Raw genomic sequence first — 15,476 nt, forward strand, 5'->3', positions numbered from 1 at the left:
AAGAATGCCCTTTAGTTACTAATGAAGGTATATACCTCTATCTGGCACATTAACAAGCCTCTTTATTGAGTATCTGGGGACGGCTCCTAGTTGACTTTACAGAGAGGCCAGGTTATCAGATGGTGCCATTCCTCTAATGATAATGGCAGTGTTTGGAATTTAAATGATCTGACAGGTCACAGCATTCAGCAACATGGATGACATGCTGCAGAAAGCGCATTTGGTTATAGAAGGAACATTCATCTACCTGAGGGACAGCACTGAGTTTTTCATTCGTGTTAGAGATGGCTGGAAAAAATTACAGGTAATTTCTAAACTTCCTTTAACACACTGCCTTCAAATACCCTCTAAAAATAATAATCTACTCCCATAAATGCCATTTTTTTCTGTTTTGAAATGGGAGAAGTTTGTAATTGATCTTTCATTTCAATGTACTGTTTTTCTTAAAGCTGGGAGAACTGATCCCCATTCCTGCCGACAGCCCTCCACCCCCTGCGCTTTCCAGCAACGTGAGTAGTTACCCTGTTGGACTGCTCATGCATTCATTTATCAGCATTTCCTGAGTCCTCCTTGGTATCTAGCACCAAGCTCTCCAAACTCTGGACAGTCAGCTGTGCACGGTTTAGTATCTGGTGAAATCCTAGAAATTAATGGGTGCTAACAGGAGGTTCCCACAGTAGAGCGGAGGAATAACTAGATCCAGAGGCTGGAGACCTGCTGTTCCCATGTAGTAGCCAAATCTTCTTGGGCAGAGGGCTTCCTCTATCTTGGCCTCAGTTTGTTCATCTGTGGAATCATTGGTTGGTATAAGCAATCTAGAAGATTCCTTTAATTTTTGGCACCATCTGCCTCATAAGAACATGGGCAACTGGCATTGTCCATCTTCTAGCCCTAGAGCAATGCTTTGAGGTGGGTACTATCATCCCCGTTTTGCAGATTATGAAACTGAGGCTCTGAAGAGGTAGCTTTCTCTATTAAGTGAAAGAGTTGGTGATTAAACATGGGTTTATCAAAAAGAATGCCCTTCCTTGATTCAGTGCTCTTTTTAAAACTCTTGAGAACATTTTCTCCCTTTCTGAAGATGATTTCTTCAGCAGGTCATGAAACTCTTTACAGTTAAGAGTCACAGTTACAGACAATGGCAAATTATTTAAAGCATCTTCTCAAGAAACATTGCACTTGCACCTCAATACACTCTGAAGAACAGATTGAATGCATATTCAGAACTGTTTCTTTTCCTCCTTTTCATAACAGCCACATCAGCTTCTGCCTCCACCAAACCCTATTTCAAGTGCCAATTATGAGAAGCCTGCTGTAAGTACAATTTATACATTTAATCTTCAAATACTGAGTGTATATCTGCTAAGTGCTAGGTCTCATGCTTAGTACACAGTTCCTACCATCATGATACTTATAGACTAGTGAGAGAGGCAAACAAAAAACAGAGAATTACAATACAGTGTGGTAAGTTGTTTGGGTGAACCAAGCACAGGGTGCTGGGGGTATAAGGGAGGGCAGAGACGTCTACCTGGAGGAGGTTACCTCCAAACTAAGACCCAAAGGACAGCTGAGTTCGGGAGTGAGCCAGGTGGGAGAGAGGCAAAGGGAAGATGGAATAGAGGGAGGTAAGGGGAAGGGCTGTGCATTCCTGTAATTGCTAGTATTAAATTACAGGCAAAAGAGTAGAGTTCAAGGCAGAAAAGGGAGACATTTAGTCTGTGGAAGTCAGCAAAGCAAGTGCTAGGTTTCAAGGGTCTGCAAGCCAAGCCAAAAAGTTTGACCATTTTCTGTGGGCAATGGGGAGCTACAGAAGGGTTTAAAGCAGGAAACAGGTATGACAACACTAGTGTTTCAGAAATTACCTTGGCTACAGTGTGCAGATTAATCAGAAGGGACAGGAGCAGGGGTCCAAAGGCCAGTTAGGTGACTCCTGTGTTATCTGAACTAGAATCACAGCAGTGAGCCCATAGACTAGTGGGCAATTGGAGAGACATGAAGGAAGCAGAAGTGACTAATTGGGTCATTGATTGAATATGGCGCATTAAAGATGAGAAAGGTCAAGAATGATGCCCAGGTTTCTGCTTGGATGATTGAGTGGTGACAGTTTCCTTTCCAGGGATTGTTTCATTGCTGGGATTAGAAAGTCTCTCTATTCCTTTGCTAGCTTAAGTAAAGATCTCGTTTAAATCAGCATAGAAACCTCATGGAACTCCATCACAGGAAGAACAGCCAGGCCTGGGACTCTTGTCTCTATTAGTCTGCTTTGCTCTCTCTATAGACCACCTTCTGAAAGGGTCTTTCTTCCTCCCAACCTCACCCCAAAACACATATATAGGTGACATGAGCTTGCACACAGCTTTGGGTCACCCTGGCACTGATTCTTGCCCTAAGTCTGTGTGATCTTACAGCTGCTGACCCCAGTACTACTGACTCAGTTCAGAGTCTTGGGAGAGATAGTTTATATGGTCTGTCTTGGGTCAATTGCCCACTCCCAGCCCAATCAAGAGTTACCAGGAGAATGAGTTTGAAGGTCTAAGGCCACTCCTTATGGCAGGGATTGTGGGGGCATTTTCTATTGTGCTGCTATTGACCAAGGAGGAACTAATTTGGAGCATGGTGAGTCTGAGGTGCCTGGAGGAAACCTGAGTGGAGACTACCAGGAAGGAATAGGTTCTGAAGGTCTGAAACCCCACAGTGGGATCTTGGCTGTAGATGAGCCATGCAATTACTACGGGGCTGGTTGGATTCCCAAAAGAGAATCTATACAGTCAGAAGGGATTAGACTATGAGGAGCAAAACTGAAAAGGAACTGATGGGAGAAATATGAGAAAGAAACTGAGAAGCCATAGCCAGAAAGGAAGAAAGCAAGCCAAGCAAGGTAGTAGCCAACAGTGTCAAAGGCTGCCAGGAAATTCATAAGAAGAACCAAAAGGTGTCCTTCAAATTTAGAAACTAGAGCAAAGCATTTAGTAGCCAAAAAGATTCTAGTTGGTTGAAGAGTCAGTGGGAAGTGAAGGAAGAGAAATGTGAGTGTCAGTAACCCTTCAAAAAGCCCCAAAGTTAGGGCAGTAGCTAAAGGATTTTTTAAATGGTATTTTATAAATTCAGAACTAATACGTATTCATTGCAGAAAATGTCAACAATGCATGAAAAGAATGGAGAAGAAAATAGTAACACACCTACAATTTTATCAAAACTACAACCATCCACAAAATAGCAATTTTAACATTTTGAGTGTTATAACATTACTGTCTTCCTAAAAGTACAATATAAAAATGTTGTCATTTTATAAAAATGTTCCAGCAATTAGAGAAATACAAACATGAGAACACAAAAACCCCCAATCTCGTCATTCAGAAACAACCGTAATTTCAGACATTTCTCTGTGTCTCTCTAAAGGACAGTAGGGCTTGGTGGGATTAGAGGTGGCAAGGAAGCCCTGCAGTTGCCCCCTGCCTGTGCCTTTCTTAGGTGGCCCCTGGCATTGGGGAAGCCTCATTCCATCAAGGCCTCGTGTGATGCACTCTGATGTAGCCCCAAAGCACACTGGTTGGAAGATGATGAGACCATAGGGCTTCTTCCCTCAGGCACCAGAGTCTCCAGATGCATGAGGAAGAAGACGGGGGGTGGGGGCAGTATAGTCAGATGGCAAGGACATCAAAGGGTCAGGGTGTATATGTGGAGGTGGAAGTCTGGTGGCCTGCCTGTGATTGTGGTGGGTGGGCAGCATGCTAAAGCTCCCTCTTACCCTAATGGCTGGGAATGTAGAGCATAAAATGCTAGCCACTGGGAGGCCTGCTGGGGAAGCCTTGGCTCAGTGCGGGGCAGGAAGGAGATGGGGATGGGGTGTGATGCTGCTTGACCTGGACCTCCATCTAGTATGGTGGTCAAGACAGAACCAGGATGAATAAAAAGAGAGAGACTGGAGCAGGTGGCAGCCTTGGGGTCTGTCCTCTGCAGGAAGGAAAGGGGTGGTGAATGGAGAAAAATATCCAGAGATGTGCAAGGGCTGCTTGGGGCCAGTCTGGACACTCACTGTAGCTCATGGCCAGTTGTGGCCAACTGGCTGGAAGCTGGAGAAGCAGAAGACCACCATGGTGATCCTGGTCACTGGGACACACAGAGGCTTTGTTCAGGTCTGAGAGGCGGGGTAGAAACCAGGAGAGAAACACTGGCCGCCTCCTGCCCCACCGCCTGAGCCTCATTTCATGTCCTTTGGCTTAAGATATTTAAAAATATTTTCCTTTTTGGTAACTTGGACCCAGGTCCTGCACCAGCCTCTCAGCTCTAAGTTGATGAGATAAAAGTTACCCCCGAGATGAGATTGATGGGAGGCAGGGAGATGAGTGTTCCTTGATTATGGAATGCATTCCAGAGGGTGTGGCAGAAAGGCTGAGAGAGGGCAGTAGTAGGAGGCTGGGTTTTGGGAGAGAAAGTGTGGAAGAAATAGACTACGGATTGGTTTTTATTTTGGCTGCTGACCAAGATAGCAGGGATGTGAAGCTGGAATTACTATAAGACCCCTAGTTCCAGAAGGGTCTATCTCAGCAGTCTTAGTCATAGGTGCCATACCCTTCTTTCGATGGCTTTCTCCCAGATCCCTCATGTGATCAGCCCCAGGCCTATCCAGGAGATGGAAGAAAGGGCTGCAGGCAGATAGCTGGGAGAAGCTCTGGGATCCAGGGCCAAAGCCAGCTTAAAACCCCTGCACAGACCCAGAGGTCTCAAACTTATGGCCTGCAGGTGGATTCCGAGATTCAGATCCCTGAAGTTCTTTATTTGGTCCAAGCAATATTTTGTTCTGTTTTTTTTTTTTTTTTTTTTTTTTTCACCTAAGGAAGACATTTCTACCACTTAGAGCTGTTCAGAGAGCTGAAACAGGCTGCTTGGGAGACCATAGCTCTCCTTCCCCGGAAATGGTCAGGCAGAGACTGTAATTCCAATGTCAGGGAGGGATTGAATAAAATGACCTCCAACGTGCCTTCCAGCCTAAGAAGTCTGGAATCTTTGCAGGAATGTGAGATGGTTCTGGGGGCTGGAGTTTGCCTTTGATTCTGACTGCTCTCTTTTGTCTCACATTTTTCAGCTGCATTTGGCTGCTCTGAACATGCCATTTTCTGGGGACATTCGAGCTGATTTTCAGTGCTTCAAGCAGGCCAGAGCTGCAGGACTGTTGTCCACCTACCGAGCATTCTTATCTTCCCATTTGCAAGATCTGTCCACCATTGTGAGGAAAGCAGAGAGATACAGCCTTCCCATAGTGAACCTCAAGGTAAAAATAAATATGGTTCCCATTGCCTTCTGCATGCATTGGTCGCTACAGGGCCTGGAGGCAGTTTTCATTCCTGACATCAACAGAAGACTGTTGACTTAAGCCTGCTCTCTCCCTTACTGGCTATGTCACTTTGGGTGGGTTCTTTGCCTTCCCTGAACCTCAGTTTTCTTTATGCTTGTGTGACCCTTGGAGCATGCAGGAGGAGAGATAGTGATAACTTCTTTCATTGATACAGGGTTTTCTTGTTTGTTTACAAAGTACCTCATTATCTTAATAGGGACTTCTAATAAACATGAGAGTTATTCATTTTTTAGTTTGTCAGATGAGAAAACTGAGGCTCAGAAGAAGAAACCAGTTTGCTTAAAATCACTGCAAACTAGGGCACTTTGTCCTGAACCCTGTTTTGGTGTTCTGTGCCCATTTAAGCAGATATTTCTCTGCCCCATTTGTGGGTAAGACAGGGCCTTGTAGGATCCCTCGATTATTCCATAGAAATAGCAGACTCTTTCAAGGCTATGCAGAGAAACCTCGTTGCCACTCACATACACCGTGGAGAAGCTCTGGGTCCTGATGACTGTTTCTTAAAGGTACTTCAAGACCCTTTAGTCTCTGCAACCCCAGTACTCCAATTTAAAACCTTGAGGCTAGCAAGTTCCATCCTAACCCCATACCCAGCACTTTCCACCTCCTCTCCCAGAATTCTGTTCCAGCACCTTCACCCACTGAAATTATTTTTATTCTTGGATCTCTCTACAAGGGACCAGGCTGTTTCAGGAAAAGGACTAAAAAGTTCATCTCCATCTCACCCACAGTGTAGACTGGCACAAGGCCTGCCACAAATTTGAAGCTTAGTATGTATGCATAATATTTTCAAAATAACAATAATAAAATAAAGACATAAAACACAATTTTGATTGGAAGGAGGCTTGTATACACTTCTAATAAGAGAAATTCCCTCAAGAAATAAGACAGTAAAAGCAAAAGCGTTCATGGATGGATTATAAAATCAAACCACAAACATTTCTTGAGTTTTCACTCTGTCCAGGCTCTAGGATTGGGGCTGGAGACTCTAATGTGAGGTGGCATCTGGGCCTTGAAGAGCGAGTAAAAATCGGCCAAGTGTGGTGGTGCATGCCTGTATTCCCAGCACTTTGGGAGGCCGAGGTGGGTGGATCACCTGAGGTCAGGAGTTCGAGACCAGCCTGACCAACATGAAGAAACCCTGCCTCTACTAAAAATACAAAATTAGCCGGGTATGGTGGTGCATGCCTGTAATCCCAGCTACTCGGGAGGCTGAGGCAGGAGAATCACTTGAACCTGGGAGGTGGAGGTTGCAGTGAGCCAAGATCCCACCATTGCACTCCAGCCTGGCTGGATGACAAAAGCGAAACTGTGTCAAAAAAAAAAAAAAAAAAAGAGTAAAAATCTAACTCATTTGTAGGCTGATGGTATAATGATTCTAATGTGGTATTTTGTCTCTATAGGGCCAAGTACTTTTTAATAATTGGGACTCAATTTTTTCTGGCCACGGAGGTCAGTTCAATATGCATATTCCAATATACTCCTTTGATGGTCGAGACATAATGACAGATCCTTCTTGGTAAGTGAGGGTGGAAGTTCTCAGATATGGTGTGATAGATAGTTTTAGGGGGCATCCTAACAATGGGATGCCTTTATCAGCTGCTTCTCTAGGATATTGCCAACATAAAGCCACAGTGAGGCAACTGAGGGCCTCAGAGAAAGCCTTGTCCTTGGAGTCAGAAGACCCAGGTCCAGTAACTCAATATGGAATCCTGGGCAAGACATTTCCATTCTCTGAGCCTCAGCTGCCTTACCTGTCAAATGGGCAACATAACCACATCTATGTCATAGAATTGTGAGAATAAAATGAATATATGTGAAAACATATAGCACGCAGTGGGCACATAATAAGTGGTAAGCAATGCAACTCCTGGGGATCCTGTAACTCTACACTGTGATTTGCACTCTAAATCTTGAAAATTATGTGAGTTTTTCAGAATAGAACAACTCAGCAAACCTCTCCTCACTGCCTACTCTATACGAGGCCTGAGGCCAGGCCTGGAAGGCACAATAATAAACCCACACAGCTCCTACTTTTACAGGGCTCACAGTCTACAGAGGAAATAGACACACACTAACTGTGACTCTAGACAGAATATTGTAATTGTAAGTGGAGAAACAGGTACCATAGGATATACAGGATATGTTTGTTTTCATTTTTACTTAGGGGTGAGAATCAGAGATGGCTTCCTGCAAGAGGAAGTTGTTTATTGGCCTTTGAAAGATGAGAAGGAGTCACTGGTCTGAAAATGAAAGAGAAGCCCTCCAGACCAAGGGACCCCATGAGCAAAGGTTTAGATTCACAAAAGAAGAGGGTGTGATTTGAAAACAACTGCAAGCTGGGTGTGGCTGCAATCTAGTGTGTTAAGAAAGCTAGCAAGGGCAATGAGGATAGAGAAGTGATTTGGCATCAGGGTTAAGGAGTTTAACTTGATTCATTAGACTTATGCCAATTTGCTTACCAAAAAATACCACAAAGAAGTGTCATTTTGAAAAATAACATGACAAAATTACTTTATAGGCCCCAGAAAGTCATTTGGCATGGCTCCAGCCCCCATGGCGTCCGCCTTGTGGATAACTACTGTGAAGCATGGCGAACCGCGGACACAGCGGTCACGGGACTTGCCTCCCCGCTGAGCACGGGGAAGATTCTGGACCAGAAAGCATACAGCTGTGCTAATCGGCTAATTGTCCTATGTATCGAAAACAGTTTCATGACAGACGCTAGGAAGTAATGGCCTTCTGATGATTCTTAAAGAGTTTTCAATTTTTTCTTATGTGAAGAGTTGACACTGAAATCTAAAATGTTTAATTGTTGTAAATATTACAGTTTTTTTTTTTTACTACATATTCTTTACAACAGCAACCAAAGAAAACATACCTCAATACACTCAAAACTGAAGACATAGAGGACTCAGATCAAAGACAAAATCTGATCCATATATTGGTGCTAGATTCTGCAGGAAACCCCAGCAGTGTGAACGCATCCCAACATAGGTTAAGAGCAAGTTGAAAACAAAGGCCATGGCATTCTGCCACTGCATCCTTCAGACAGTTATATCCTCCTTTTAAACCATTGTTGTTGAGTGTAAGATGTCCTTCATGTTTTCTTATAAAGTCAGTGTTTAGAAATGTTACCCTTTCTAAGTTATATACAGATCAAATGCTTTTTTCTTTCACGTACATCCATCATTTGCAACTGCTGTTCGTACACAGAAACAGGACTGCTCAAATGATCCTATTTGTATTTTCTGATGCTATCAGACTCTAATGTTTTTTTCCCTAAAATATTATTGCCATCATGCTTTAGGAATTTTATATTTTTACACAATCATATTTTAGTATGGTGTCTGTTTATGTAACTCTGACTTGCTGGAAAAGTTGAAACTCCAAATAATCTGAAACTAGAAAAGAAATAGCACATAATTACTACCTTCCCCTTGGCGGCTCTCCTCCCCAACCCCCACCCCACAATTTTATGACTTCCATTTGGCAATTGTTGAATTATAACTGCGACTGAAACAAACAGGTTCATAGAGATGAATTTTCTGAGAAACATATATCTACATGTTGTATAATTGGATTTTTTTTCCATGTAAGTGAACATAAAAACATCTTTTCCGGGTGCTTTCTTCATTTGACTTTTTCCCGCTAGTTCCTTTATTCTCCATCACTGATGTGGAAGCAGACCTGGGGTGGGTTTGCTAATCCTGCCACTTGTGCTGCCCCCAGGCGATGATCAGAGAACTGAAACGTTTTCCCATCATGCTCATCTGCCCTGGCTGTTGTCTTCCACCTAGTGGGGCCAGTGTAGGTTGTGTAGAGCCTCAGAGTGGGAAACAGGATGAGCTGTGATTCTGCCACCGTCTCAGGGCATGACTTTGGGCAAGTCGGCCTCTGTCTCTCAAGGAGATTGGGATAAGACAAGCATAGTATTGGCTACCAGTCATTAAATATCAGACTTCTGATATATCCCATTTCATTTTCATAATAACCCTGCAAAGTAGTTTTTTAATCTCTACTTTACAATGCAAAAAAAAAAAAAAAGTCAAAGCTCAGGGAGTTACTTGTTCCAGATCATACACTGGTGAATGGCAGGGCTGGTTTCAGACTCAGGGTCTGCCTCACGTCGGGGCCTATGATCTTCCCAAGGAACCCCTATGCAAGCCTGCCTCTCTGCTCCCTCCCAGCTGCAAGCATGTGATTCTCTGGCTCTTGGTCTGACCCTCTAGGAGAAACATAATCACCAGGCAAGAAGTATGCTGGGATATTTCCTCCCATTCAGCTGGGCTGGCCCAGAAGCTCAGCAAAGTGAATCCGCCCTCAGAATCCTTGAAGTAGGAAGGAAATCAAAGAGGAAAAACAAAGAAAAAAAGGCAGCCCAGAATCTCCATGTAGGGGCTGCATAAATACATGAGTGGTGAGAATCTTCCTAATGAGTCACAGAATGAAGACTGTTTGAGGCTGGAAAGCCCGAGAGGTGGTTTTTGAGGACCAGCCCATCCGTTGAGTGATGAGGGCTGGGGGTGCTTGGTATGGACAGGAACTGCAAGGGGAAGGCGGGCAGGAGGCTACCAAGGCCACGAAGCGCAGACACCGTCCATTTCTGTCACAGCCCACCTGGCCCAGAGTTACAGAAGAGGCAATGTGAGTTGGGGTTTTGGGGAGGAGCCCAAAGTCAGGGAGACCTCATTTGCTAACCCTGGAAAGAGTATTGAGGCTTATGGCATTGCCATTCAGGCCTCTCCATGCACCAGAGGAGGTATAACCGGCTGACCCAGAAGGAGGCCCTGAGTCAGCCCCAGCCCCATTTAGACTTGGAGAATGAGTGTCAAAATCCTGGACCTGACATTCACTAAACACCAGCCCTTGCCCAAGCTTTCCCGTCACATGTTGAAAACCGTCACCCTGGTATCCTCAAGGTCACTCAGACAAGCCACAGAGGCTCCTCTGCAGGCTGTGTCATCGGAGCCCCACCCCATCTCAGGAAAGCCTTAAACACTCCGGGCCTAGCCTGGCCCTTCTGCCAACGGCCAGCACATCTGTGATATCCCCCAGCTCCCAAACCTGCCTGCCTTTCCTCATACTTCCTCCTCTGAACACCTGACATGTGTAGCATCCGAGTCTTGTTACACAGTTGAAACACAATGGCGGAAGGGCCTCTAAGCCTTCACTCTATCCCATGCCTGGATGTCTCAAATGTGCCTGAATGCTGAGCCAATTAACAGTCTCAGGCATGATAAGGGAGGGAAGAATTGTCACGAGTAATTCATCTTTATCGTGCTAGAGGTCTTTTGGAGACTTGCTGTGAGTCCATACTGCACACCCTCAGGGTCTGAAGCCTGCAGCAGCCAAAGCCCCTACCCAGCAACAGAACCAGAGGGATAGAAACAGCTGCCAGCCCATGTCAGGGGCCAGGCTCCATAAGGTGGCAGACTCTGGAGGGTGCACAGGAGCAGAGGGTCTGAGCAGGTATGTGGGGAGAGCATGAAGGAGGTGGTCCAGGAGAATCCCCCTGGCAACCTGGACGTGGCCACATAGAGTAGACCGAAGAAAAACCCAGGGAACAAGGAGAATGGGCTGCAGGAGCCATCCTTGCATTTCCCGTCTCCTCCTGGACTTCATGTGGCTAGCATGGTGTCTCTTGAACCTGTAAAGGGTGTAAGTCAGAGACAGCGTGGAATTCTGGGAACCATCAGCAATCCAGTACAGCTGAATAGCAGTCAAGACACTTTCTATTAGTCCATAAAGGGAACACAACTCAAATTCACAAGTTTTTTTGTTTGTTTGTTTTTTTTAAAGAAATGTATTGGCTCATGAAACCAGGTAGGACGGGGATGCAGAGACTCAAGCAACGTGGCATGACAATGTGGTCACTCACTCTGTTCTCTCTCTCGGTGTGTGTATGTGTGTGTGTGTGTGTGTGTGTGTGTGTGTGTGTGTGTGTAAGACTATGTCTATCTGTCTTGCTTCTCTTTTTCTGTGAATATGGCTCCTTCCATCCAAGTGAGGACAAGATTCATGCGGCAGAGATGTCTGCAAACAGCTCTAGGCTTATGTTATTCCACCACCCCAGAGAGTGGCTCCAGAGGAAAGAGAAGACTTCCTCTCCCACTGGGATGATACGAATTCCTGGAAAGGACTCTGATTGGTTCCAACTGTATCACAGGCCCATGACTGTGTTTGGCAGCCCCCACCCCAGAAATGAGTTGGGCAGAAGGAATAATTCCTCCATCCAAAATGCATGGGGATTTGCAATGACCTGAAAATGAGGGATAGAAGGTTGACAGGGCCAACAAAATAGATTCTACCACACACAGCAGCAGGGAAGATCAAGTGTGGGGGACGTTGCAGTGAAATAATAGACAGAGGTGAGATCATGCTGGCCTTGAAATCCAGGATGAGGCATTTAGACTTTATCCTGCAACTGACGTAGTAGTTAAGAAGAAAGTACTTAGGCAGATAGTGAGGGTACAGGAATCCTCAGTAAGGTTTTCCTTTTAATGAAAAGCAGCCCCAAAATCAAGTTCTTTCTCTTCTTCTTCTTCTTCTTTTTTTTTTTTTTTTGAGATGGAGTCTCACTCTGTCACCAGGCTGGAGTGCAGTGGCACAATCTCAGCTCACTGCAACCTCCGCCTCCCAGGTTCAAGCGATTCTCCTGCCTCAGCCTCCTGAGTGGCTGGGACTACAGGAGCATGCCACCATGCCCAGGTAATTTTTGTATTTTTAGTAGAGACAGGGTTTCATCATGTTGGCCAGGATGGTCTCGATCTCCTGACCTCATGATCCGCCCGCCTTGGCCTCCCAAAGTGTTGGGATTACAGGTGTGAGCCACCACACCCAGGCAATCATGTTCTTTTCTAACAAAGAGCAGCCTGTAAAATTGAGCTGCAGACATAGACAAGCAAGCTGGAAGCTTGCACAGGTGAATGCTGGCACTTGTGTCAATAGGAGAAGGCTACCTGGGACTAGGCATGATCAAAATGATGGCTCCATGTTCCCTTCTCTTTGCCAGCCACGTGTACAGTAAGGAGCAGACAAGATGGCGCTGGCCAAGTGGAAGGCCCATTTGCAGAATAAGATTAGGGTGGGGTGACCAGCCTTCCCCAAGTGCTATGTAAACGTCGCATCTGGTCAAACCAATCTGTGGGCCCTACTTAAGTCAGACACCGCCTCCTCAAGCCTGCATGCATATAAAATCTGCTGCAGGTTTTCCGTTTCAGTCACCTCTTCCTCATGAGAGGGAAGGCTGCTCTCCTCTCACCTTCCTATTGCCTATTAAACTTTCCGTTCTTTGACCCACTCACATGTGTCCCTGTCCTTAAACTTCTTGGTGCAAGATGACAAACTCCGAGACAATGTTGCTGCTTCACAACTGGTAGGGCACCTTGGGAATATTTAAATGAGGTAAGAGATGGTATTGGATCCATGTTTGAGAAAGATCAAGCAGGTTTTTTGTTTATTTGTGCACTCATTCAGAAATATTTCTTGAATAATAATTTGTACCCAGGATCATGTTTGGACTTGGGAGTACAAAGATAAATGATGCCCCCACTTTTCAAATCTACTAAGTCCATTCTAATGCCACAGACTGTTTCAAATCTCCTGTATATTTCCTGCCACCTGCTCTCCACCTCCTCAGAAACCCTACCAGTGGGGGACAAGCACATGCATGCAGTCCTTGTCTATCCTAACAGCTGGAGAAGTACTTTTCTGGTTACCCCTTGAGCTCCTGGTCCATCAAAACACCACTGAGCCTCCTCAAACCTCTTTGATAGCCACTAACTGATTTTCTCCTTTTGCTTTCCATCTTGTACTCCAATTTATAGGGCCGGTAAATAGAGAGATGCCTTGGTCTGTGTCTGAATTTTGGTCCTGCCACCTACTAACCATGTAATCATAGCCAAGCTACTGAAAAACTCCAAGTTACTGAAAATAGTCCTCCACACTCAGTCCTTCCCTGCAGCTCAGTTTCTTCATCTGTAAAAGGGGGACATTCATGGAAACTACTCTCCTTTCAGTTAATTTACAGGAAGCACTGGGAACAGCATTCTGGCCCCGTGTAAGCGTCCAATCAGTGTTTGCTATCTTTGGCCTGTTCCAGTTGTCTCTCAGTAGGAGCTGGGGGAAGGTCTCTCCTTCAACCATCCTAGCTGGTGTCTTCCAATCTGCCTGGCTTCTCTGCCTGTCTTCAGGCACAGGGCTGGGACTCAATGTATACATAGCAGTACAGCTCTGCCTGCTGTTGGTAAATATCCGTTGTCCCACGACCCCGAATGTCTGGACTATCCTGGCCCTCTGCTCCTGCCCTTCATAATCCAACAAGTAAAATGTTATCATCTGGCTCATTAGCGGCTGCTGACAAGAGGGCTGAATTCCTTCTGATAGACAGGCACACATGCCACAGCGACTGTTTAGTCATCTCATCATCCCCCTGCATGAGCCTGCTGGGGGCCCTGAGTTCCAAGAAGGACCCAGAGCACCCTGTTATCTGATATGTTTGTGGGAGGAAATTGCCTCCCTCTCCTCTCCTTCCAAACTTGTGCCTTTTCCTCTGGTCCTTCTCTTAGTGAGTGGCTCCACCATCCAGCCAGGAGCCTAGGAATCTTTTATTTATTCAACGATATTGACTAAGTGTCTCCTTAGTAATAAAAATAACAACAATAAACCATAAAATAAGTGCTAGGAAGCTCTGCAGAGTTGGGATATTTTTATGATGACTACTTTGATTTTTTTTTTTTTTTTTTTTTGAGACAGGATCTCACTCTTTAACCCAGGGTAGAATACAGTGGTGTGATCATGGCTCATTGCAGCCTTAATTCCTGGGCTCAAGTGATTCTCCCACCTCAGCCTCCTGAGTAGCTAGGACTACAGGTGTGTGCCACCAGGCCTGGCTAATTTTTAGTACATATACATATATATATATATGCATATGTACTAATATATGTATGTTTAGTACATATATATGTTTGTAGAGACAAGGTCTTGCAATGTTGCTCAGGCTGGTCTTGAACTCCTGGCCTCACAAAATTCTCCTGCCTCGGCCTTTCAAAGCGTTGCACGTGGTGGTCTTCCCTTGAGGCAATGTGGTGCTGGCTCTTTTCTTATCTTCCCTAGGACTGTTGCTCACATCTCCTGGCCTCTACAGTTCCATCTCCTCCAGTTCATTCTCCACACCAGGGGAGAGAGCTTTCTAGAAAGCCTGTCATACTTAGTGTTTTGATTTGAGTTTCCCTTTAGAGGAGGATTCATTAATTTCTCTGCAAGGCGATCCCAAGAAACAAGGTAAGAGAGCAGAGAAATGAGACAGGGATGGGAAGGAAGATTTTAAAGGGTGCATCTAGTTCTCACTGTGAGTGACTAGATCACACTGTCCTCTTAAGGGTTCTGGGAGCCCGTGCAGTCTGGCACCTCAGAGTTTCCAACCAAAGGGACAAGGATGTTATGGTCTTCATACACCAACCCCTCTCAGTCTTTGAAAAACAGGAGGGCGAGGCACTGGATGAGATTCCAGTACTTCTGGCCTGCTGCACACGACAGAGTGGGCTCAGCTGCCACAGAATGCTCTCAGGCAGACACGTGGATGCTGGCAGTGGGAACTTGGGGGTTTATGGGCGGGGCACCCCAGAGACTGCAGTATCAGGCCCAATCTAGCAGGAAGTCACACAAGGTTTACTTCAAGATAACACTTTGAGCTTACAATACTTTCCTCAAACCTTACTGAAATGATAAAAACAACAGAGAAAAAACAAAAAACAAACAAAAAAAGACCTGCAACCCCTTGTTAAAAAAGGAAGAACTATCTCAACCTGGCAGAAACTTTGAGGACTTTCTGGAAGATAGAAACCTGCTATGATTGGCTATCCTATAACCACAGCAGCAAAGGCAGGGCCTGTCTTCGAGTCCCTCCTGAGGCTGATAGCCACAGGAAAGTGCCAGTAGAGGCTGAAACAGAAATAAGCTGGGAAAAGGCTGGGGGGAAGCTCATAGAGACTTGTGCAGTTGCTGACAGCACCCAGAAGACCTATCAGTCCTTTCAATGTGGGCTTTCATATTTATGAACATCAGTACAGAACAACAAACACCAATTAATCATTTGAGGAGATCTAGCAGCCTCCAA

The 15,476-nt window shown here is 45.3% G+C and overlaps 1 protein-coding gene across 1 annotated transcript in view, besides 3 other annotated features; it reads left to right on the forward strand.

The window, feature by feature from the left end:
- Nucleotides 1-8,992, forward strand: part of COL15A1 (collagen type XV alpha 1 chain) — a 126,881-nt gene extending 117,889 nt beyond the window's left edge. The window contains exons 37-42 of the mRNA NM_001855.5: nucleotides 176-304; nucleotides 450-509; nucleotides 1,255-1,314; nucleotides 5,087-5,272; nucleotides 6,760-6,875; nucleotides 7,878-8,992. Coding sequence (NP_001846.3) covers nucleotides 176-304; nucleotides 450-509; nucleotides 1,255-1,314; nucleotides 5,087-5,272; nucleotides 6,760-6,875; nucleotides 7,878-8,091 — 765 coding nt within the window. The 3' untranslated portion in view covers nucleotides 8,092-8,992. The remainder of the gene's footprint in view (nucleotides 1-175; nucleotides 305-449; nucleotides 510-1,254; nucleotides 1,315-5,086; nucleotides 5,273-6,759; nucleotides 6,876-7,877) is intronic.
- Nucleotides 9,943-10,443: an enhancer, noted in NCBI's record as "H3K27ac hESC enhancer chr9:101834020-101834520 (GRCh37/hg19 assembly coordinates)". NCBI's record gives its function as "activates a minimal SCP1, AML or CMV promoter by ChIP-STARR-seq in naive H9 embryonic stem cells {active_cell/tissue: H9 hESC(naive)}" and the evidence as "EXISTENCE:reporter gene assay evidence [ECO:0000049][PMID:30033119]".
- Nucleotides 10,444-10,944: an enhancer, noted in NCBI's record as "H3K27ac hESC enhancer chr9:101834521-101835021 (GRCh37/hg19 assembly coordinates)". NCBI's record gives its function as "activates a minimal SCP1, AML or CMV promoter by ChIP-STARR-seq in naive H9 embryonic stem cells {active_cell/tissue: H9 hESC(naive)}" and the evidence as "EXISTENCE:reporter gene assay evidence [ECO:0000049][PMID:30033119]".
- Nucleotides 13,329-14,047: a transcriptional cis regulatory region, noted in NCBI's record as "candidate enhancer chr9.1735 targeted for multiplex CRISPR interference". NCBI's record gives its function as "positively regulates TGFBR1 gene expression with high confidence in K562 cells {active_cell/tissue: K562}" and the evidence as "EXISTENCE:mutant phenotype evidence [ECO:0000015][PMID:30612741]".

Source organism: Homo sapiens, chromosome 9 (assembly GCF_000001405.40).
Source record: "Homo sapiens chromosome 9, GRCh38.p14 Primary Assembly".
Taxonomy (NCBI): domain Eukaryota; kingdom Metazoa; phylum Chordata; class Mammalia; order Primates; family Hominidae; genus Homo; species Homo sapiens.